The sequence below is a fragment of the Homo sapiens genome, chromosome 10, assembly GCF_000001405.40.
Source record: "Homo sapiens chromosome 10, GRCh38.p14 Primary Assembly".
NCBI lineage: Eukaryota > Metazoa > Chordata > Mammalia > Primates > Hominidae > Homo > Homo sapiens.
The window spans coordinates 120,701,181-120,727,088 of NC_000010.11; the positions used below are offsets into that span (position 1 = coordinate 120,701,181).

Consider the following 25,908-nt stretch of genomic DNA (forward strand, 5'->3'; position numbering starts at 1 on the left):
CCAAAGTGCTGAATATTTTTACTGGCATCACCTTCTGAGGGTAAAGGTTCTCTGGTCATATCTGTGCAGCAATTATCTGCTTTAGCGGGATGAAGAAGAAATTTTGATACACATATATCTCTGCATTTTAATTTCAGAGCTTATATCCTATTCAATTCCTACTTCAAAATGTATTTTATTCAAGCAAATGCTGCCAAAATGTGTTACATTAATTTATCTTTCTGGATGGAGGTGTTTCTAACAGAGCAATTATATATTTGCCTAGACTAAACATTCATTTCATTTCCATCACGAGCCTCTTCCACTTTGCTTGTGAAATAGAAGATGTAAAATTGGTTATCTCAGTTCCGAGAACAGAGGATGTGTTTAAATTACAAAAAGATCCTTCTGACCATGGCATCTAGACTGACAACTGCAATAGTAAACCAACCAGGGGAAGGAGTTAGCATCAGATGATTCATGGTCTCAGAGAAATCTTTTATTCTGTTTCCTCTTTCTATTATAAACTTTCTCATGAAAATGAGTTTACTAAATCTTAATGTTAAATGTGCCCTCCTTCTAATTATCTGGCATTTTCATGACAAAAAATTAACAAAATGAAACATAAGTCAAGTATATACTCTTGTTTCTTAAAATAATAAGGACAGAAAATAGTATAGGTTGATTCAGTTTTTGAGACCTTTTGAATTACAAACAGAATCATGAATAGAAAAATTTTACATAAATGGTAAAATAAAATTAGTTAGGGGAAAAATATAAAATCTCCATTTCATAGTTGTCATACAGTTGGCGAATTGTTTCGTAAGAGTAACAAAATTAAACTCAGGAAAGTAGTTGGCAGTCAATATTTCTCTGACCCCTGCAAGTTGTGACTACAATAAAATAAAATTTGACTTTTTCTGATTACTGCTTAAAGATATTGAATACAAATTGAATATCATCTGTCTTTCTTAAGTGATGACACTTCTCAAATATTTAAGCCCAGAGGGCATTTGGATGATATTTTAGTCAGGAATTTAACTACGTACTCAAATGTAAACTAAAATTGTGAAGAAGCCAAACTCATACATCTTCTACCCACTTTCTAAGTCTAGGGCAACCTAAGCCAGAATTGGAGGACATTTTAAATTGGGTGAGGTTCTGGAATATTTATATTGGAAGAAGTTCAACTTTTTATTACCTGTTGGTAATCAGAAAAGCTGTGGGTCCTTCCCAAGCTACAATGCCATCCACAAAGTGGGAAGAAATGAATCCTACCACAGTACTCAGAGGTAGTAAGTAGACTAAAGAATAAAGTTGCTTTTGGCTTGTTTTTAACCAAGTCTGGCTAATTAAATTAATCCGCTACACAGGCAATTTATTTAACACAGAGTCAGGCATATATTTAATGATCAATAAGGTTTAGCGATTGTTATGAACACAATATAGTATATATCTCAGTAGCTCTCTAGGTGGTTTTTGTTTGATTGATTGGTTTGGTTTTTGTTTTATTTTGTTTTCTATAACCAGTGGGTTCTGGGGAAGGAGGCACAGTTCATACTCTTATTAGTCAAGACAATGCTCAGGTATGTGGCTGTAACAAATGATATCAGTGGCTTAAGCCAATTTCATTTCTCACTCATACCTGCCAAGCGTGGGCTGGTAGGAAGTGTAAAGGCTCCCCTGAGTTTCTCAGAGACTCAGGTTGACAGAGGCTCCACCACCTTGTGACATTGCCAGCTGACAATGGCTTCTAGGGTCTCTGAGGAAGGACAAATAAGGTGCTGGAGATCTCACAGTCTTAGGTGCCTCAAGCCAGAGAAGACACCTGCAACTTCTCATCACAGCCCATTGGCTGGAAGCATTCACTTGGCTTGGGCATATCCTTTTCATGTTCCCAGGAAAGAGAGAAGAATCAGGTGGAAGCAAACTCTAGAAGATTCAAATGCAGTGTAATCTCCCAATGAAAAGATTCCCCCAATTTTTCAAGTGTTATATCTTATGAGATTGGAATCCCTTCAATAGCAAATATTTCTTTTGTTTCTTCCAAGAGAACTATTTAACTTATATACTGTTTAGGAAAGGAAGTGATCTCCTTCTACTAATTGACATGGCTTAATTCTGTGGATCTGGGATAAAGCTCAGGCATTTAAATGTCTCATCGGGAAGGTGTTTGCTGGATACTCCATTTAAAGGGTGTCTTCCCCATAAGCCCCTTACTGTTGATCTCTTTCTTAGCAACCGATTTGCTTCTTTCATAGCAACATCACAAAGTGTGACTATTTTACTTCATTCGAATTTTAAGTTTTGACTGTTTTCCTCATGATACTGAAGTTTCCAAGAGGCTAGCAATGATGTCTGCCTTGGTTACTCTTTTCCTCTTAGCTCTTTAGACTATGCCTATCATGTAGAAGGAATCAATATGTTATTTGCCCAATGGATGAACAAATAAATGACTTTTTTTAAACAAGCTTTCCAGGTAATTCTGATGCAATTTGTCCATTGGCCACACTTTGATAAATAAATACTACAGTATATTTGCTTGTCCCTTTTTGAAACCAATAATCCTGAAGTTAATTCAATTTTATTTGATTTGATTCAATCCACATTTACAGCAGCACCAGAGGGCAGGCCTACTACTCTGTCAACCTCCTCAAAAGAGAGGATCTAGCCTCTCTCCCCCACCCCAACACACTCACTCATGCAATAGTCAGGGCTCAAGCACATATACTCCAACTCATGCACCAGCATGAGAGCTGTGAATACTTGTGATTTGTGGCTACTTGGCATCATTCTCCTTTCCTAACAGTGACATGGAGTTTTGGGGATAGGAAGGCTGCGCTCTCCACACCTGTACGACCTACTTTGATGGGACCATGAAGGCACCATTTCTGTAACCTCAGTGCAGCCTCTTCATCCAAATGTGGCCACTTGGACTCCCTTCCCTAGGCCTCTACATCTTGAGCTGAGTAATGCGAGGACAGAAAGAACCAGCCAAGACCCTCCGTTCCAGCACTGGTGTCCAGTTGAGATGGCAGAGGAGTTCTTCCTGCCTTGTCACCAAGACTTCCCTGCTTCACACCTTGGCCCTGTGCTTTTTACTAAACCCAGACTTCCATCTTTCATCCATTGTGCCTCTCTCTTTCTCTCTGGCAGGGGTTTCTAGCTAGCCACTCAGTATCCTTCTGCCTCAGTCACCACCCTGATTTAATTGGGAGTAACAATATGCTCCCCGAAAGTGACATTTCCCTACTTCGCCTGCCACATGCCACAGTTCTAACTGATGGGACATAAGCCAGAGTTATTGAGTATATTTTCTAGTCAAGTTTCTAGACCTGCCTCTCTTGAGTATTTGCTACTCAGCCTAATTAAGGAAGGGACCCTGGGCAAGGATAGATGCTATTTCTCCCTCCCAGCCATGGCCGCATAGGCATGTTCCAACATGAGAAATGGAATTGAAAATATTAATTTATGCAACAGATAATCTGATTCATCACATTACAAAGTTGTCTCATTTTACCCAAAATACTACTCATTTGGTTTCTTTAAATATCATGTATCCCTCCCTAACTCAGTTACATTTAAAATAAAATTTCAAATACTTTTTATTTCAGTGCTCCATAGTGATTAAGAACTCAGCTGTGGACACAGGCCGGGCTGGATTTGAATTTTGTATCTGCTATTTTCCCCAGGCAAATAATACAGCCATGCTGAGCTTCAGGCTCCTTATTGAGAAAATGGGAAGAAAAATTCCATCACTTTAGGAGGCCCTAGTAAGGATGAAATGAGATAATGCTCATAAAATGGGAAATAATGCTAACCATCATTATAATCAGTATTATTGATCACAAAATGCAAACTATACATTGATTCAGCCTGATGCATGCACTGAGAGATTCCATCCAACGGGCACCAACAAGGACAGCATTAATGGTGATTTTCAAGTTCCTATATGTATTTTCAGAATCAGACTTGAGAAATAAAGACATTTTACCGCTACTGCTTTCAAAGCTTTAATTCTGACTGCTCTAAAATTCTGCAAACATCTTTGTCCATAGAACTTCCTATTAACAGTATTGTAGTCCTGGGGAAAGGTAGGTTTATTATTTTTCACACTGAAATACAAATACAATAAAATGTACCAACTCTAAGTACATCAGTTCAATGAGTTTTGACAATTACATAAATCTGTGTAACCACAATCCAAAAAAGATATAGGACATTTCTATCATCCTAGAGAATTCTATCGTACCTCTTTCCAGTTAATTTTCTCCCAAAGGTAACAAATTTCTGATTTGTACTTTTATTGATTAGTTTTGACTGTTCTTGAACTTCATATAATATGCACTCTTTTATTGTCTGGATTCTTTCCTGCAACACGTTTGAGATTAACCCATGTTGTGGATGTATGTGTCAGCAGTTCATTTGTGTTGTTGTTGTTGTTGCTGAGTTGTGTCCAATTGTCGGGGATATGAAACAATTTGTTTATTGATTCTCCTATTAATGGACATTTGATTTATTTCCCGACTTTGACTATTATGAATGTATTTGTACAAGTCTCACTGTGTTCAAATGTATTCATTTCTCTTGAGTAAATACCCAAGAGGAAAGTTTTGAGTAATAACATAGATACATATTGAACCATTTTAAGAAACATCCAAGTCGTTATACAAAGCACACATACCATTTTATATTTCCACCAGGAATGTGTGTGACAGTTGCTTCCTTGGTCTTGACAGCCTTAGCTTTTTCCCAAGACATTCTAGTGGGCCAAGCTGTTCTTATCTTTTTTTTTTTTTCTCTTTCTTTTGTATTAATCAAATATTTTTATTATTTTACTTTATCTTTTATATTGACTTACTAGCTATACCTTTTTGTATGTTTTTTCAATGTGCATCTCTAACTTATTACAGTCTATCTTCAAATGATAATATACGAATTCACAATGTAAGACTTTATAAGGATATCATTTCACTTATTCCTTCTTGTATTATGTGTCCCTCTTGTCATACACTTTATTTCCACATGCTTTCACTGCCACAATACATTGTTATTATTTTGCTTTAAACAGTTGATGGTCTTTTTTTAAAAATAAATATGTATGTCTGGGTATATATCTTAAAAATTTTTTAAAGTTTTAAAAATAAATATCAGATGTTTATGCTCTCTGAAGCTCTCTTCATTTCTGTGTGCTGACAGGAGCTTCTATGTGTATCATTTCCTATCAAGCTGAAGAAATTCTTGTAGTTTAGGTTTGTTGGAGACCTCTCAGTCTTTATTTGTTTGAAAATGTCTTTATTTCATAATCATTTTTGACAAATAGTTTTGCTGGATAAGAATTCTTATCCTTATATATGGACAATTTTTCTTTGTTGTTTTGTTTTCCTTTGCTTCTTAAAACCAGAGCTTTAAAGATCTTATTCTTTGTTCTGACCTCTACTGTTTCTAATGAAAAAGCAGAAACAACACAGCTCCCATTTGTATTGCTGTTCCCCTGCATGTAATGCTCCTTCTGTTTTTTTCTAGCTGCTTTTAACTTTCTTTTTATCTTACTTTTTAGAAGTTTGATCATAATGTGCCTAGATGTAGTTTGCTTTGTATTTATTTATCTTTCTTGAGTTGGTAAGCTTTTTTTTTATTATTATACTTTAAGTTTTAGGGTACATGTACACGATGTGCAGGTTTTTAAATTAATTGGTTCATACCTTCCATCAATTTTGGAAAATTATCAATTGTCTATTTATCTATCATCCGTCTGTCTGTCTGTCTGTCTGTCTGTCTGTCTGTCTATCTATCTATCTATCTGCAAAATTTTCTGGCCTATTCTCTCTCTCTCTTTCTGATCCTGCCATGAGATCTCTGTTGGACTATTTAATATTATTCCACAGACACGGGATGCTCCCTTTCAGGTGTTTTATTTTTCCTTTCCTTTTCTCTTTGTGTTTCATTTTAGACCATTTCTATGGACCTATCTTGAGTTTCACTAATCCTCCGATGTGCTCACTACTGTCAAACCTATTGACTGAATTTGTCATTTCTGATAAGAGTATGTTTTTTCCTTGAGACCATCCTGGCTAATACGGTGAAACCCCGTCTCTACTAAAAGTACAAAAAATTAGCCAGGCATAGTGGCGGGCGCCTGTAGTCCCAGCTACTCGGGAGGCCGAGGCAGGAGAATGGCATGAACCCGGGAGGCGGAGCTTGCAATGAGCCGAGATCCTGCCACTGCACTACAGCCTGGGCGACAGAGCTAGACTCCGTCTCAAAAAAAAAAAAAAAAAAAAAAAAAGAGTATGTTTTTTCCTTTCTAGTATTTCCATTTTTAAAATAGTTTTCATCTCTCTGTTTATATTTAGAGGAAAAGGTAAACACCTGAGTGAACTGATGGAGGTTTACATATTTGTCATTGTTATTTTATTTTATTAATTAATTATTTTTTTCTGAGATGGAGTCTCACTCTGTCACCCAGGCTGGAGTGCAGTGGCGCAATCTCCGCTAATTGCAGCATCCGCCTCCCAGGCTCAAGCGATTCTTATGCCTTAGCCCCGCCAAGTAGCGGGGACCACAGGTGTGCACCACCACGCCTGGCTAATTTTTGTATTTTTAGTAGAGATGGGGTTTCACCACGTTAGTCAGGCTGGTCTCGGACTCCTGGCCTGAAGTGATCTGCCTGCCTCAGCCTCCCAAAGTGCTGGGATTACAGGCATGAGCCACTGTGCCTGGCCAGTTATTTTAAAGTCTTTCCCTGAGAATCCCAACATCTAGGTCATCTCTGTGTTTACTCTGTTTCTCCGCTGACCACGTGTCATATTTTCTTTTGTGTGTGTGTGTTTCTCATAACTTTTTATTGTGTGCTGAACGTTTTTGTAGAAGAACAATAGAGAATGAAGTAAAGAATATTCACCCACAGAGAAGAGCTTCTATCTCTGTCAGGCCCCTTGTTGGATGCTAAGTCAGACTAATCCACAGTTGAGCTGGGTCCGGGCTAGGCGGCAACTTTAATTTGATTCAGTTCACAACTGGTTTCAAATGTTTGGAGGGCACAATCAGGACTTTCTCTTCCTCCAGGACGGAGGTTCTAATGCTGGGGAGATTCTAGGGATCCCCTTTATGGTTTCCCATGAAGCTGCCAGATGTTGGAGCTTTCAGAGATTCCTTTGCTGCTTTTGACGTTGCTGAGCATTCGACGTCTTTGCTTTTCAGCGCCACCTCTGGCTTTCTGCACCTCAGATTTCTCTCTGCCCTTCTGCCGAGCTTCCACTGTTGCAGGACTATTGTACTTACTAATGTACAGGGTGGGTGGGTAGGTTCTTATTTTATTGTGACTCAAAAATTTTATTTTGCTTGCTTTATTATGATGTTCTTAATATGTGATAAATAAGAGAAAGTGATACAAGAAGACAGCAGTGTCTAGAATAAGGAAGACAAGAGTAAATCTGAAAAATGAGTCCCTAGATTCATTTCCACCCATCTCCAGCACCTTGTTGCTCCAGACCCTCCCTGGGGCTCATAGTTTCAACCTTTCTCTCTTTTTACATTGCTTCCTCTCTGCCTAGAAATATATTACTCTCTTGTTCCAAATAAATCTCTCTCTTTGTGTGTGTGTGTGTGTGTGTGTGTATGTGTGTGTGTGTGTGTGTGTGTGTGTGTGAGTGACAGAGTCTTAACTCTGTTGCCCAGGCTAGAGGGCAGTGGTGCCATCTCAGCTCACTGCAGCTTCCGCCTCCCAGGTTCAAGTGATTCACCTGCCTCAGCCTCCTGAGTAGCTGGGATTATAGGCACGCACCACCACACCTGGCTAATTTTTGTATTTTTAGTAGAGACGGGGTTTCACCGTGTTGGCCAGGCTGGTCTCAAACTCCTGACCTCAGGTGATCCACCTGCCTTGGCCTCCCTAAGTGCTGGGATTACAGGCGTGACCTACCACGTCTGGCCCCAAATAAATCTCTTGAACTATATCTGCTGTAGTTACCGTCCAATCTGTCTCTTTCACCTCCCCAAAGAGGAGTCTTTACTTCTTCAGCCTCTGCCTGCTCCTCAGCACACGACAGTCTGACTTCTGCCCCCACCAGATCAGGTCTCCATAACAGGTGGCTCTTGAGACTACCCCACAAGACGAGGTCTTGTTTCTGCCTGAGACTTCTGAAGACCAACTTCAGGGGGCAGCCACCCTTTTGCCCTGCCAAGCCCAAGCACAGGAGATAGACAGCAATAATACCAAGGGTATCTTGGGCTACATGTTTCCTCATAAAAGGGCCAGATAGCCTGTAATGGGAGGAAGCCCCACTGCTCCAGCAGCTCAGATGCTTGTGAGGAGGGCTGGACCTGTTGATAACTTGGAGGGGGAGCTCTGGTCTGTGCTTTGCTTACACCTAGGTGGCCTTCCCTCTCTGTCTCTCCCTGAAAAGAACATGGGCCTATTCCAGGAGGCTGGCATGGTCCCTGCGGGATCAGCTGGAGGGAGGATGAGACCCACTCTCCTGCTTGGGGCTTACGTCCACCTCACTACAGCTGCTGGTGCTTGTACTTTCCACTTGCTGTGTACAAAGGCTGGATGCAAATATGAAATGTTAAGAGTAAACATATAAAGTTGGCCAGTCACAGTGGCTTATGCCTGTAGTCCCAGCACTTCGGGAGGCCAAGGCAGGAGAACTGCTTGAGGCCAGGAGTTTGAGACCAGCCTGGGTAATAGAGTGAGACCCTGTCTATATTTTAAAATAGATAATATAAAAATTATATAGGGAGAGATAGATCATATAAAATTAGATACACATGTATACTTTTTTTAAGTTAGGCAAAAAAGTTAGAAAGATAAAATGGTGAGTAAAATTGTATAATGAAATTAATCAGGCCGGGCGCAGTGGCTCACACCTGTAATCCCAGCACTTTCGGAGGCCAAGGCGGGCAGATCACTTGAGGTCAAGAGTTCAAGAACAGCCTGGCCAACATGGTGAAACCCCATCTCAACTAAAAATACAAAAAAAAAAGATTAGCCAGGCTTGGTGGTGAGTGCCTGTAATCCCAGCTGCTCAGGGGGCTGAGGCAGGAGAATTGATTGAACCTGGGAGATGGAAGTTGTGGTGAGTCAAGATCGTGCTGCTGCACTCCAGCCTAGATGACAAAGCAAGACTTCCTCTCAAAAAAAAAAAAGAGAGAAAAAAGAATTTAATCATGTGACAAAATAAAAGTTAAGGCTAAGATGACCAAATGGTGGAAAAATTGAAACTACTTTTTATGTTGAACACTATGAGATGGGCTCAATACAAGTTCATTGACTGTTCATTCACAAGCCTGGCCCCACGAGAGCTCTCATTTCCTTCACTGACTCTGACTTGATCTAATTCAGGATTCATGTCCTACAAACTTCTAGGCTGGTGCGAAAGGCGATCTTGGTTATTTTGAAGACTCAACCCACTCTGCCTCCAGGTCCTGACAAGGCTCTGGGACTGTCTTCAATGCCACGGACGGGGATAAGGGGAGTAAGGTGGGAGGGGTAGTCATTATAATTTTCTTTTTACAGTGGCCCCCTTCAGTTGTAGGGCTCTCTACTGACCCTGGGCCACTGTGGGATAAGGGTCTCTTTGTTGAAGCTGGGAGCCCTGTCCTTGGATCCTGTCTATCTGGACACCTTCAGACCATTCCCCTCAGCTCCCACTGCCCCTGTGGGCCCTGCTTTTACAGGACCCAGAGGTTTCTTTCTTTCTTTCTTTTTCATAGACAAGGCCTTGCTCTGTCACCTAGACTAGAGTGCAGTGATGTGATCACAGCTCACTGCAGCCTCAAAACCTCCTGGGGTTAAATGATCCTCCCCCCTCAGCCTCCCAAGTAGCTAAGACTAAAGGCACACCCCACCATGCCTGGCTAATTTTTAAATTATCTGTAGAGACAGGGTCTCACTATGTTGCCTAGACTGGTCTCAAATTCCTGGGGTCAAGTGATCCTCCTACCTTGGCCTCCCAAAGCGGTGTGATTACAGGTGTGAGCTGCTGCACCTGACTGAAAGGCCTCTTAATATCAATCCCTTTCTGCCTTTATCCTTCAAGACTTCCTTCCACCTGGTGTCGCCTTCAGAGTTGCCCCACCTAACCCCTTCAGTGGTCTTGGACCTCTAGAAACAACACCCAGGACAGAAAATGTTTTGTTGGCAGCTTTTTTCTCTCTGGCCATAGATGGGTCAAGAAACACAGAGTTTATCATCTGCTTAAAAGGGTTGGGGTCAGGGGTGGGAGGAAAGAACGGGTAAATAAGGGAGAAGGAATCTATATTAATCTTTTCAAATATTCTCCAGCTGTGTGCATTATGGTCCATATAATAGCAGATGGTCATTAAAGCTAATAACACGGGAAGATGTTCACGATTTATAAACTGTAAAGAGCAGGTCAAATGAGTATATGGACCATGAGGGCATTTCTGATATCTATAAATATATGCAGACAGAAATGATAGGGAGGAAAACCACTCATTTTCTATAAGTAATAGGAGAACAGATTCATCTTCCTTTTTGATGTATCTGTGTGTGTGTTTTTTTTTAACTTTTCCATAGTGAACCTGCTTTAGTTGTGTGAGCAAACAGAACAAATGAGAACAGCTAGACAGATATATTAGGGATCAAAGAGAAAATAGCCTTACGATATTCAGTCTCTTTCTTCTGTGCCCCCCACACAGTCTTTTTAGGAAAAGATGCAGGAGGCTGGGCCTGGCTGGCAGAATGGCTGTCCCCAACGGACCTATGTCCTGTGGGCCCACCAAGGCTCTGGGCACTTGCATAGATGATTTCTGCCTACTTTGGAAAACATCTCTGCACCCCTGAGACTCTGCAGTGAGGTTTTCCCTGTGCACAAGGCCCGGTGGGGTGTGAGTGGGAGTAGACTCCGTCTCCCCCAGTGGTGAGGACTTATGCGCTGAGTCAGCTGAATTGTAAAAAATAAATGTGTGGCAGCCAGCATTTGGCTTCATGCATGTTTAAAATCAGCCTGTGGCTAGCCTTTGCCACCTGGGCAGTGAGCTTGCTTGGGGCTTGCAGCAGGAAGCCTGCTACACAGCTACTCCTCCACTTCACCTGGTGATCTCAAAAAGCTACGCAGGGAAGCACCAGCTCCTGCCCAGCAAACACCCTTTTTTCTGCTAAAAACAAAATGAGCGCTGGAAATCATAGGCAAATCTTTCTTATGCTGTGCCTTGGAGCAGGAGCTACGAATGAGTGGAATCCATCCACCTTCCAGACGCCTTAGCTATCTGCAATGCCCCCCTCAGGAGACAAAGCCCACGCAGTCCCTCTCTTTGGACGTCCACTCATTTGCCTGCAGCTCCATCAAATTCAGCTCCCCAGATTACATTTCAAATGATGGAGCATTTCAGAGTGCTCTCTGCAAACTGAACCAGGCTTTGTAAATGTGAGAGAAGATTGTGGTTGACATCCATCATTCAGGGGGTGCATTACCAATTTCCAAGATTCTCTGTGTTTCAGTTGAATGTTGTGCTGCTGTGCTGCACCCTGGCCTCTGACCACAGACATCATGGCCCGTGGGAAGTTCTGATGGGAAATATTTCACCCAGAAATGTCGGGGCCTCTGCAGCCTTTATCTTGGAGAAAAGTGCAAAGAGGGCAGCAGCTCACTTGTAGTTTGTGTTTATAGTTTAGGACATCTGTGATCTCTCAGCATTGATTCCTTTTACTTTAAATCCTGTCCTATGCCTAATGAGTCATTTTCAAGCAGAAATCTGCACAGTGTGTGATATGGTTGCCCACTGTATAATAACCATGGGTTAGAGTCTAGGAATCATTGTAGCTTTAAGGTCTTTGTTAAGAATGCAAAAACGGAAATGAAAATTAACTCCATAGTAGGGCAGCTGGTCTCAGCAAATTCAGTTGTTAAAAAGAAAGAAGTGGATTCATAATGGATTCCTCAGTCAGCCGGGAATTTAACAATTACTTCTGGAATGTTTAAGATTGAGAATTTCTGCAGATTTTCAAAGGAAGTTCTGATAGTTATATCATGGGCTCCACTTTATACATCACTCTGAGTTCACCCTGGGTAAGTAAGCATGGTGTCTACAGTTCTGTGTATGAGATGGTCCAGATACGATCTTCTGCCCCACCAGTTTTTGACAGGACTCCCTGGAGCAGCTAGAATCTGTGAGAATAAACTGAGCATCACCAGACTACATTTTTACTGCAGTCACACTAGGTCTGGCTATATAGGTAAAGAAAGCATTCAGGTGTCTTCATGTGTTCAGAACAAGGGCCCCCATCTTGGGCAAATTCCAGGCTCTCACATTCTTCATACGTCCCACCATACATTTAGCATCTTTTCTTGGAACTTGATTTGTTAAGTTCCAAATTTCAGGTGCTCAACCTGTGCCCATTGAAAATCACGTGGTAAATTTAAAACAGCTTATTTTCTAACATAGCTTTGGGCCTGCCAGAGCCCATTATGATTCTGCTTGTGGCTACACCAACTCATATTACAGATCAAGTCATTTTCACCAAAGCACTCCTTGTACAATCAGAGGGAATGGTGGCACACAGCTGCCTGGGAAGGGCTTAGCCATCATCTTAATATTATGGGCTGTTGGTAGCAGATCACTCTACTGAGCCACAGATAAGATCATTTTAGTGACATTTGTGGTAAACATCCTCTCGTGGGTGACAAGCCTCAAATCAAACCTATCACTTAGTCTGATGAAGGCAGGACAAAGCAGTGGGGAAGAGAACACATTAAAACAGGCATTCAGTGATGAGCTTGTAAAGGTCAAGAAACCTAGGACAATGAGAAGGGAGTGCTGGCAATGATGGGCTGGCTGGGGACACTTGCTGTTTTGCAAACTGATTACTCAGAGGCATTAGTGATGCAGAATGCCTACCAAGCAACTTCTGAAATAGCAAAAGCCCCTTCCTGGTCATATACCACTAAGGGGATTTTTTTTTCGCCTATTAGAGGCAATTGAATTAATGTTTCCATTTGGGGTAGGACAAAGGAGAGAGAATGAGAAACAATCAGATAGAACCTATTTGACTTTTTTCATAAAATTGTTTCTATTTTGCAGTTTATGACCAAAGGAAAAAATATATATGTCCTTAATGTGTCTAGCAAGAAAATAAATCCAGTACAGAAATTTTTTAAACTTTCTGAAATCAGTTTCCAGAGGGTGATTTTAACAAAGCAACAACAATAATAATAATAATAGTCCACTTAGTACCTTGAGGACCTAAATGAGCTAATACATGCAGAATGCTTTATTAAACTCTAAAACACCATTAGAATGTGAAGGCATCTTACTAAGCCAGAGGCATGCCTTCTTCTTCAACGTGCTTCGGTGTATACTAAGAAACAAGCAAAAGGTTTTTATGTTTTTCAAGAAAGTACACTGGCGTTTCTGCACAGGCAGTTTATATTTGTGTGTTTGTTTCCTGAACACAGAACTTCACTCTGACATGACTCTAGTGGTTAATTCCAAGTCACTCCCACACGGGTAGAAAATCACAGAGCACTGGCCTCCGTCTTTGGGTTTCATGAGCAGGTGACTGTGTCCGCGTATAGCAGCGGTTTTCAACCAGGAACAAATTTGTCCACGGGGACACAGCAAGATCTGGAGACATCTTTCATGGCCACAGCTTGGGGGTGGGGGTGCTACTGGCATGGAGTGGGCAGAGGCTAGGGGTGCTGCTAAACAACCTACTTTGCAAAGGGCACCCCCACAACATGGAGTTATCCAGTCCAAAGTGTCAATAGTGCCAAGATGAAGAAACCCTATCTTAAAACATGAAGTTTTTTATTCCAGTCACCGGCCTCACAAAGAAGCAGAGCACAGGAGGATCAAACCTCACCTGAGAGCAGCCTGGTTCACTGTGCTGTGACAGAGTAAGAGCCAAGAACAATGTTGTGGGGAAAAACAAACACGAAGATCAATAAGAGCCCTTCAGCTGACAGGTGTGACAAGCCAAGCCAGCCAGCAGGGAGTGAGAAGGCACCAACATTACTTAAGAGAGATGCCAGCTTCAGAGGAATAGATGTGCACAGGGAGCTTATTGTGGCCAAGAAGGCCCTCTGAGCCGGAGGGCACAGCATTCCCTGAGCTGGGGGAACAATCATTGGCATGTGGCACAAAGTGGAAGGGGGTGAGATGTCAAAAAGCCAAAATGGGGGCAGAGAGTGGATATTCCCTTTTAATAGAGTATCTGATGCATTCGCAGGAAGAAGAGGAGACTATTTCAAAAGAAAGAAGTTACAGTCAGCGTAGCAAGTTCTGCATTTTAGGGCTAAAAATATTTCTTCTAGGAGAAGCTGCAAAGTTCATCAAAGGGGGAAGTTGTAGGCATGAAGTACTGTAGAGATACCTCAGCAGCTGTGGAATCTCAGCTGAATCTTGAAATAATAGTAAGTTTTACAAAGGAGAATGTTGAATGTGATCTTCAGTCACTCATTTGATAAATAACGTTTATCCATCTCCTGAGCCTCAATATCCTCATTTATAAGGTGGAGAGTGTTGGACGATTTGATTCAGAAAACCTGTTGTGAGCATCGACCTTATACAAAGGAGGTTATGAAGGATGCATAAACAAGTTAGACCCTCTCTCTGCACTTACCGGGCTTAAATCTACATGATCTTAAAGATCCCAGCTCCTAAAAGTCCCTGGGGAAGTAAAACTCCCTTATGATTCTATGGTAAAACACTCTAGGCAATTTGGAATTCATTAGTTCAGATGTTTAGTCCTTAAGAAATTGGAAATCTAGAACTTGCAAAAAGGGGAAGAAATGGCAATCCAAATCCAATAGTAATAGAGAGTGAAATAACGAATGTCGACCAACAGAAAGCAAAGAATAGGCTGTTATTGTTGCAAGAGTGATGTGCAAAGTGATGTGCAGACAGATCCCATTGTTAAGAGCTCAGACATTCAAGGTACTGCACCCAGCAGCCCTCAGTGAAATGTTCCCTTATGTAGCAAAAGGTCTGTGCAATCACCACACAGAATCGGATGGTTGGTCTGAAACTGTAATCACCTGTCAAGATGGAAAGGACTTATTTATTCTTTTAACTTTGGCTTTTGCCCTCTGAGCTGTAAGGTCTGTGTACTCTTCCAACTATTCCTAGAGCCTGAAAGCCAATGTCAGTGAAAAAGATAATGGGAATTTAGCATCAGAAATGAGTGAACGACGTTGGGAGCTCCTGTTTTTGTTAAAACAAGGTGAATCACAGGTGGTCCAGGAGACCTGCAGTCAATCCCCTTGATAGGCCTCTTAGCACTCATCACAAGATTGGTGAGTTTTCCCTTCTATGAGAGACAAATTGAAATAGTAAATTGTGACCATTGTCTAGATCTTAAGTAAGTCTCGCCAGGACCTGTGAATACCTTTCTCTGAAGTATAAATTTCTCATTATTCTACCAAAGACTTGTGACGTTTCTATGAGAAATCTTTGCCCCTAAATTGAGCCAGTTGTTTGCCAGGAAAAATAGAGCAGGACTTTTCTTTTAAGTGCCTTCAATGAAGTAATGAAGTTGTCTTTACGTCATGCTGGCCAGGAGCACCATAACCCTTTGTCCATTCTCTAAAAAGGTGAATCAGCCCAATTCTTCTGGGCCATGTAAAAAAATTGACCTGACTAGCAAAGGGCTGGAACCTTTGCAACTGTCTCTAGAAGTTCAATTATATAGTGTTTATTTAAAAAACAAAGAGCAGCAGAATAATCCTTTGCCAGTTCTCTAGGTTTCCTAGTGCCATGGAACTTCCTTCTCCTTGCATGTTTAAAAAGAAAAGAAAAAAAGTAAACTCACCTCCGGGAAGGAAGTCAGCTCTGATTTTATCAAGTGCCTGATACAAGAGATAAAAATTCAAAGCTTCTTTAGGCTGGGATTTCCAAAGGCCTGGGTCAGGGCCTTAACACCCTTGAACCTCCTCCCCTTTGCTCCATCATAGTGTCTGCACATAGAAGATGCAGAATGCATTGAGGGGTTTTTTTGTTTGGTTTGGTTTGGTTTGGTTTAGTTTGGTTTGGTGTGGTTTGGTGTGGTTTGGTTCGGTTTTAATAATAGGAAATGTCTGGGGAAAGGGATGAAAGCCTGTAGAGAAAATAGTTGTCTGTTATCCATACTAGGTACATAGTGAAAAGCCATGAGATAACGTGTTATATGTGGAAAACTTCAAGTCTCTAGGAAGTGTCTAAAGAAGGATTGAGTGATGTGTCATGATTTCTAATGACAGTTGGTCAGATAATGATTTATTTCAATTGTAGATTTTAATATGTCTCTGTAAGACTCTTCTCCCAACCGGAGTAACACTAGAAGGCCTTTAAGGTTCCTTATAACTCTGGGATTTTATGGTTGTTCAAGGCCTGATAATTAATGTGAAGTTTACAGTGATGTTTAATGAAAGCGAATATGTTTTAAATTCCATCTACAAATTATATAAATATTAAAACAAATACCAAGATAGAAGACTTAAAGACAGTCATATCAAAAATTATATTAAATGCAAATGGCTAAGCATTCTAGTTAAAAAGCAGAGATCATCAAGTGGATTTAAAAAAATAAATTACATGTTGATGACAAGAAACATATTTCAATTACGTCTAAGTTTGAAAATATGTTACGCAAACACTAAGCATTAGAAAGCTGGTGTGGCTATATTAATATCATATAAAGTAGACTTTAAAAAAACAGTATTGGCAGACATAAAGAAGAACATTTCTTACTGCTAAGAGAATCAACTCTTCAAGATCAAATGAAAGCTCTCACTGAAGCAAGATGACTGAGTGGGAACTCTTCAGTGAATTCCAAAGCAAACAGCATTTTTAAGCACAATGCATTAGAACGAATATATATTCAATTGCTTAATCTTGAAAGTGAATTTGCACTGTCTGTAATTCTTATATGACTAGACGACATATTGTCTTGGTAACAAGGAATTCTTTCAACAAAAGAGTATAAATAAGCAAAGAATGTTTTTTAGTTCATTTCACTCTGAATGTGACCCCTATGATAGATATAAACCAAAAATAAAATTTTAAGTCCCACGACCAACTGAGTGGACCCCCCCCTTTTAGCCAGAGGACCCAACTAAACCTGGAAAACTAGTTCAGATCATGCCAGGAAGAAGAGTGGTCAGACATACCTCAATTACTCTCTTCCCTTGTGGTTAAGACACACAACTGACCAGCATTAACATTAAAACACAGGTCCTAAAACTGACAGAACAGACTTTTTGTAACAATAAGATACCAAATTCCAACCTGACTCTAGTATAGCATCACATGATAGTGGGACCTTGAAAGAAACCAAAGTATTTTACTCCAAAATATATTTCTTTGACATATTTTGAAATGGCCCTGCCAAGCTGTTTCTTGTGGAGGAAATTTACATTCTGTAGAGAATCCCCGTTCCTTACCAGGCCCTTTTCTAATCCTGAGGAGATTAGCTGAGAGCCTAGCACTTTTTAAAGGTCTGAATAGGAAACACTTGCTATCTATTGCCTCTGGGCGTGGCCACCTTTGAGAATTCATCTACATAATAAGAACCCTGATCTCCACAACTCCTTATTTTAACCCAGACACTTCTTTCTATTGATTCCAGGTCTTTAGATAATAACTCTTTTGACCAATTGCCAATCAGAAAATCTTTGAATCTGCCTATGACCTGTAACCTCCCCCCAACCCCCGCTTTGAGTTGTCCCACCTCATTTGTATTGATTGATGTCTTAGGTTTCTCTAAAATATATAAAATAAGGCTATAACACAATTGCCTTTGGCACATGTTCTCAGGACCTCCTGAGGCTGAGGCTGTGTTACAGGTTGTGATCCATAACCTTGGCAAAATAAACTTCTAAATTGATTGAGATCTGTCTCAGACACTTTTTGGTTTACATAGAGAAGTAAATAATTGAAATGAATGAACTATTGCTCATCTCAGAAGGAAGACTTTGATTTAGTCTCTGTGTGTGGTAGAGGAGATGGGTTCTCCCTGCAGTCTAGAGATACTTAAAGAGGCAGAAAATATCAGAGAGAAAGAATTCCCTCTCCCTAATCCAAACATGGAAGATGAGAATAAGCAGAATGCACTTAGGGGATTGCTCAAATCTGATATTTTCCAGCCTAATTTATATGATTTTATGGAGGATTAATAGACATTTTTCTCAAAAAAAGAAAGTTAATGAAGTTTTCTAGAACAACAACAAAACCCAGAGTAGCTAAGGTAGAAAAGAATGCAGCCCAGGAGGAGATTCTAATAGACCCACACAGGCAGGACAAGTGAGAGCTCAGGACAGAGAATGCAGAAGCAGAAGAGAGAGATGGAACCTTAGAGCTAAGGAGAAAGCAGAGAAAGTGAAAGTGTCAGAAGGTGAAAGAGGTTCTAAGAGAGAAAAGGCTAGTCATGGTCAAAGTTAGGCAGGGAGCATGAGACCACAGTCTGACCACATTTACAAGAAACTTCAAAGCCTTCACCAGCTCAGGATTGATGAGGAAAATAAAGGAGTGGTATGACCCAGTGGAAAAAAAACCCAGACTGACACCTAAACCCAAGTGTCACCAGGTATATTGGCTTCCTGTGACTATTGTAACAAATGACCACAAACTGGTTTAAGACAACAGAAATATATTCTGTCCTAGTTCTGGAGGCCAGAAGTCCCAAATCAATGTATTGGTAACCTTGGTTCCATTTGGAGGTGGAATCCATTCCATACCTCTCTCCTAACGTCTGAAGGCTGTCAGCAATCTTTGGCGTTCTTTCCTTTACAAATGTACCTCCCTAATCTCTGCCTTTATCTTCATATGGTCCTCTTCTCTGTCCCTCTGTATTGCAAATATTCCTCTCCCATCTCTTATAAGGATGCCAGGCATTGGGTTCAAGGCCCACCCGAAATCTAAGATGATCTCATTTTGAGATCCTTATTTTAATTATATCTGCAAAGACCCTTTTTCAGAATAAGATCATAATTCGAAATTCCATGAATTTGGATGGTTGAGGGGATATTATTCAATCCACCATACCAATTAACTCCAAGGTGAAAGGAATTGATCCAAACTACATTACACTCCAGGGGTCTCAAATTTGAAGGTGCATGTGATCATCTGGGGATTCAGCAGCTCTGGGAGGTAGCTGACAATCTGCACTTCTACAGGTTCTCAGGATGCCAGTGCTTCTGGTCTGGACCATACCGAGTAGCAAAGATTTAGTTGTCTATGTGGAAAGGTATACAATTAGTTGGCTTTGCTTAACATAACTCCCAGTAGAGCTGGTATGGCCACAGGGTGTTTGGAAAACAATTTAAAATGCTTATGGGTGAAAAGTAAGAAATAAAGATAAATCTGAGTGTGAGCCAAACTGTTTTCCCTGGGTGAGAAACAGCAGGTGGGGAGACAGCTGTGTGATCTCTGCTGTGCCCTTCAATCTTCCTAAAAATTACTAGACTGACACACACCTTTTGCTAGTGAGTCACATGGAAAGCTTGAAAGCACAGAGTTTTGAGACCAGATTGGTGTAGAGAGGAACAAATGTCTATGAGGCAAAAGTCCCTGAGAGTTTGCAGAAATTGAGAGAGAGGAGGTATTAGGGCTCATGTGATTTGTGATATTGAAGGCTTAAACCTTTAATAAGTAAAAGAAATATCTGAGAAGGAGGAAAGCATCTGCGGTATCTAGGTAATATCTGCTAAGATCCCACAGAAATGGCCCTCTGTGTGGCAGAATATAGGCAATTCTGCCTCTAGCTTCATCACAGTTTAGAGTCTTTTATCTGTAAGTCAGAAAAGAGGTAGCATGAAAACATGGACTTTAAGTAGTCATTTGAAAGAATGGACTTTGTAGTGGACAGTGTAGCTTGAGTCTCAATATTACAAAATATTTCAAAATCAATATCCCATCTCAATTATCAGAAGGGATATTGCAGTCACCTAGCCAATTTTTAGACTTGGTTCAATCCAAGAAATCTTACAAAATTAATTTTCCTTCTTAAAATAAAGCACTTTTCACAGAGAAGGTTGTGGGGTAGGGAAATGAGGGGTTGATTGTCGAAATGATAACACTAAAGGCCTCATTTTACTCTGGCGATGTTGAACTTCAACTGAGCTTGTTATCCTGGAAAATGGTGACAATTAAGAAAGCTACTCCCCCTGCCCAATTCCCTTATGCTCTGGAACTGGCCTACTGCAGGGAACCATCCTTCCCCATATGACTTAGGCAAAAATCATGGATGACCCCCTTGTTCACCCATGGCAAAGCCAGGCAGACACCCTGCAGATTTTCATTCTTTGGCCCCGTAAATGATTAGCTGAACTGTCTGTGATCAATCCAGACAAAATCTTTGCAAACCAATCTTTGGTGAAGATTCTCTCCTTGCCCCAGATCCCTGAATTTTGACCTCCTCTTAGCCTGAGCCAGCACACATCTCCCCACTAATGGACTCTCCCAAGGAATAGACTGACCTCTGGGTAAGACATTCTGTGATCCACTGACCAATTATGTCAGCCTTACATCCCCCTTCCCACACTTGGCTCTTTCCAGATTTGCTTACTCCTCCCTAGGAAAGGAAAGCCCTTTACTGGCTGACCTTGGAGATGCTTGTAGATGTCGTGGTCAGAGCATTTTCTCTATTGCAATGGTCCCCTGATCCTCCTGTTATGCCCTTTGCTGTAATCCTTCCAATAAAGTTTCTCCTTATACAGATCCGGATTTTTTTTTTTTCACAGCAAGAGAAATAAAGGGAAACTTGTGCATGGGTCATTGTTTCCCTAATGATTTTGAGTTAGTTAAGTCAGTGCAATCTTTCTCCCCCTGGGTTCCTGAAATGAGCCTTTGATCCTAATCCAAGAGCCCCCTGAGGTTAGCGGTGGCAAAGTCAAGAGAGCATGGAGCTGGAAGGCAGGACACCTGGTCTGTGTTCCCACATCCACCAATTACAAGAAACTGTGTGGCTGTGGGCAAGTCCCAAGGCATCCGGGACCTCAGCAGTAATAATACCTTAAAGAAAATCTTGAGTCTTTTCTTTCAGTTCTGACAGCTGTAACGTTGGGATTGACTGGAGTTTTCTGACCAGTAATACCCTGAACTCTAACAGCAGTTTTGGTCCGAATCTTTCACCTAGAGTCATATCAATAAGTTCTGCTGCTGTTTAACTGTTCTCTGTGTGGTGGTGTGTGCATGAGTGTGTGTGTGTGTGTGTGTGTGTGTGTGTGTGTGTGTGTGTGTGTGTCTTTGCCTATGTGTGTATGTGATGGCCTTAGGAGGCCGGAAGTGTCTATGGTGTTCTGAACGGTGCATTTGATTTTCCTTCTTCCAGCCAAAGCCTTCAGCTAAGTTGATTTGCTTTCTTCTGGCTCCTTTGCTTATGGTGATGAATAGATATGGGTGTGTTACATAACCATATCCACTATTAATGTGGATCTATAGTGAAGTTCTCTATGATTTTCCCAGTGTGCTTAGTGTGTGAGAAGCTTCTATTTTTCTTATTTACATCCCAACATTGTCCACAAAGTGTCTACACATATTTCAGTGAAATGTCAGAGCAAAAGCCTCTTTTAAGCAAAAGAGATAAAATGACCAGGCCAACTAGTTTTTAAAATGTAGGTTTTCCAGTTTAATTTAATGTAATTTATTTTTTAGTACAGGAACCTTCAGACAAACAAATTCATCTGTTGGGGCCTGTCAGGATCACAGAACAGAAGACAGTATCACCTCTTTGCCTATGAGGCACAAGTCTCTGAGAGTTTGCAGGTATTTGGAGAGAGGAGGGGCCCATTGCATCAGGGGCCCATTACAATAGAGAAAATTGGGACAGGGTTGAAGGGTGGGAATAGTCCTCATCTTGCCTCTCACACCCTCCATGGCTCCCAAGGGGCCACCATAGTGTGACCATTGCTGCTCTAGGCCAGTCACTCATTTTGGCAGGGAAGCTGAAACTCAGACAAAGTTTCTCATCCATGGCCATGCAGCCGGTGAGGACAGGGCTGGGGTTCTCGGCCTTGGACAACCTCCCTCCCTCCAAGGAACTCCCACCTTCGCTCAGCTCACCTTTGTCACATGGTCCCCCCACCCCCCGCCCCACTGGAAATTAGTAAAATAGTAGTTATTTCCAGGGATGTTTTCCTTATGTGGGCTCCCAACCTCATTCCCTTTTGGACTGAATTATTCTGGAAGGAAAGAATGAAGGGAGGGAGGGAGGGAGGGAGAGAGGCAAGAAAGCCAATCAGTCAGCCAAAAATTCAGCTATCTGTGGCTCCCGAACATTTTTAAGTTAAGAAATATGACAGTGGTGCTTGCTATCTGCTGATTGACATTATACATTATTTATTTTAGGGCAGAGCAGTCAGTTTTAAAGCTGGAGTTTTGTTTTAGAGAAAATAAATCCTGTTTCAAAATTATCATGACCTGTCCAAAAAATACCAGAGCCTAGATATGTAAGAATCTGAATACAAATTTGAGCTCTAAATGACATCATTAGTAGTGTAACCCTGCAGGCCACCATTAATTGGTGGCAAGACATACATCACTGACAGGAGATTATGAAGTGAAGAAAAGGCAAATATTTTGCAGCCCAGTGGATTAAAGAAATCTATCAGGCTGACGTAATGCTGTGCTCAAGAGAGATCAGAAGCCCTAACTATTTAAGCTTCTCGTATTTGGCTCAAATGTGCTGGTTTTACAAAATGGTCACACAAAATTCACTATTGCTTCCAAAACCCGATTCTCCATCAGCTTCTTGGTGCTTCCTGCTTCCCATGTAGTTAGTTTGGGACCTTGGAACCAGTGTCAGCCAATGGGCTCTCACAGGAAATGGCAGGTGTTACTTCCGATCTGAGGCATTGAAGAGCATGAGTCTCCGTGCCCTCTCTTCCTGAGGTGCTCTGGAAGTTCTGCGTAAGTGAAGACCACAGAGATAAAGTGCCATTAGGGTTCAATCTATCAACATGACTTCTCACTGTAGATGTTGATGTGGTTTGCCTGGCTGAGAAATGTTTATCAGGTTCCTCAACAGTTGAGTTACTTAGGTTACTGTTTTTCTCCCTCCCTTTCCATGTTCTGTGCTTTGAAAGGAAATCACTAGATTCCGTCCACAATTAAGGACTGAGCAGTTTTATTTCTCAAAGGTGGAGCAACCACATAAATTACTTGGAGTTCTTCTTCATGGGAAATTTCTCTCTTCTCCCTCAATTATTTATTAATTCGATCATTTATTTGTGTCAGTATAGACTTGTGAATATTTATGTAATACTTTGGGCTATAATCTAATACTGTCTTATTTATGTAGCTAGTTTTGCTAAAATTCTTAGCTTTAGCCATTGAGAGCTCTTTCAGTTGGCTTCTGTGTCCCTTTGACATACCCCTTAATTGTGGGGTGTTTTGTTTGTTTTTGAGCTTTTCCCTACATTTTGGCATGATAAGAGATGTTCCAGGCTCATCTCGTCTATTTACTGCCTCAGTCCTACCATCAGCATTTCTCCATGGAGCCCTGGTTCCTTTAATTGAAGAATAGTTTTAGAATCCAAGATCTGGCCAGGCGCGGTGGCTCATGCCTGTAAATCTCAGCACTTTGGGAGGTCGAGGCCGGCAGATCACAAGGTCAGGAGATCGAGACCATCCTGGCTAACACGGTGAAACCCCGTTTCTACTAAAAATACAAAAAATTAGCCGGGCGTGATGGCGGGCGCCTGTAGTCCCAGCTACTCCGGAGGCTGAGGCAGGAGAATGGCGTGAACCCGGGAGGTGGAGCTTGCAGTGAGCCGAGATCGCGCCACTGCACTCCAGCCTGGGCGACAGAGCGAGATTTCGTTTCAAAAAAAAAAAAAAGAATCCAAGATCTGGAGTTAGGTATGTGATATGGGGTTTGGCTCTGTATCCCCACCCAAATCTCACCTTCAATTGTGATAATCCCCACGTGTCATGGGAGGGACCTGGTGGGAGGTAACTGAATCATGGGGCCAGTTTTTCCCGTGCTGTCTTGTGATAGTGAATAAGTCTCACAAGATCTGATGGTTTGATAAAGGGGAGGTCTCCTGCACAAGCTCTCTCTTGCTTTCTGCCCTGTAAGATGTAACTTGCTCCTATTCACCTTCCACCATGATTGTGAGGCCTCCCCAGCCATGTGGAACTGGGAGTCAATTAAACCTCTTTCCTTTATAAATTACCCAGTCTTGGTGTGTTTTTATTAGCAACGTGAGAACGGACTAATACAACATGCTTGTTGCTACTGAGGTATCATTGCTTCTAGACTCTGTCAGCTAACAGAGCAGGGAAACATCTACATGTATGTAACCCATGAGTATATACATATAGTATCTATAATATTTCTATGTAATGCTTCTTTAGTTTTAATTGTTTGGTTTTAAAAAATAACTTGCTGAAATGGATGTTTAAATTCTTGATTTTAAAACTTTATCTTTTTAATGTCTGTATTAAGGGTTATGAAATCTCTAAGCATACCATTAGCTGTATCCTACACATTTTATATGCATGTTTAATTACTATACCATACAAAATACTTTATAATTTTTATTGTGATTTCTTCTGTGACCCATGGGCTATTTAGAATTACATTTTTCAATTTTCTAATGTATGCAGCTTTTATAGTTATGTATTTTATAATTAATTTATAGTTTTATAGCTTAATTGTATTAAATTGTATTATACTCAGAGAACATACTCAATGATTGCAATCATTTGAAATTGTTAGATATTTGCTTTATGATACAACTTATTGTCAATTTTGGTAAACATTTTGTGTGTGCTTGAAAACAAATATGCATTCTGTGGTTCTTCAATGCAGTGTTCTATGTGTGCATATTAATCTTGTTTTCCAAAGATGTTATTGAAATATTCTAAATTCTTACTGAATTTTTATCTGCTTGTTCTATTTGTTATCAACAGTTATATTAATTTCTCTCTTGTAAGGGTGGGCTTGTCTTTTTCTCTGTGGCTCTGTCAAGTTTTGCATTATATTTTGTGAGACTGTGCTATTAGGTATATGCAAATTGTGAATAGTTATAGCTTCCTGATGAATTGAAGCATAATATTACAAAATGTCTTTTTTGTCATTTGTAATGCTTTTTGGTCTTAAAGTTTGCCTTATCTGATATGAATATAGTTTTCTTTTTATAGTGTTTGAATTGCATATCTTTTATTTTCATTCTTTTCGTCAACTTATATTTTATTTGTTCACACATTTTTATATTTCATTTGCTTACCCATTACTGAGCTTTTCTCCTTTCCTATTCTGACAGTATTTTTCTTTTAATCGGGTCATTTACCCATTTATATAAAATATATTTAGGTTTAACCCTACCATCTTATTCAATGCTATTTGTCCTGTCTGTTTTATGTTCTCTTTTCTCTCCTTTCTCACTTTCTTTTAGATTAATTGGGAATTTTTATTATTCCATCTTCCCCCTTTTTAGCTTCCATATTACACACCTTTAAACAATTCTTTTAATGTATATCCTAGAATTACAGACCGTGGGACAAATTCAGCCCATCACCTGTTCTTGTATGGCCTATAAGAATATCTCATGGCATCTGAAAATTTAATTAAATTCAAACGTCATTGCTTATAAGTAAAGTTTTATTAGAACTTTTGTTGTCTTTTACAACTGCATAATCTGTATATATCAAAGATTTTCCAGAACAGGAAACTAAAGCACAATATAGAAAATAATTGAATAGAAATTATAAAAATTCTGATAGGCTTGTACAAATCCTAATTTCAGATATTTCTATTAATCAAATGATCTTTTTTGTTCCATTGATCACCCTTATAATAAATGATGTTATGCATTATACATTATACATTAAATATTGCATACTAATTATGTTACTTTAATACATAAACATGTGCCAAAAAACTCCACTTTAGTTTTTGAGTTTCAGGAGATTAATTTTGAAAATAGGATTTACATGCTCAAAAGTATGCAAATGAATAGATGAATCTAACCAACTAACTTGAGC

At 40.4% G+C, this 25,908-nt stretch overlaps 1 long non-coding RNA gene across 2 annotated transcripts in view, besides 1 other annotated feature; it reads left to right on the forward strand.

Annotated features, from left to right (window-relative positions):
- LINC02930 (long intergenic non-protein coding RNA 2930) overlaps positions 1 to 25,908 on the forward strand; it is a 216,730-nt gene that overhangs the window by 92,599 nt on the left and 98,223 nt on the right. The window lies entirely within an intron of this gene.
- Positions 18,247 to 18,406: an enhancer, noted in NCBI's record as "active region_4135". NCBI's record gives its function as "activates an Ori minimal core promoter by ATAC-STARR-seq in GM12878 lymphoblastoid cells {active_cell/tissue: GM12878}" and the evidence as "EXISTENCE:reporter gene assay evidence [ECO:0000049][PMID:35858748]".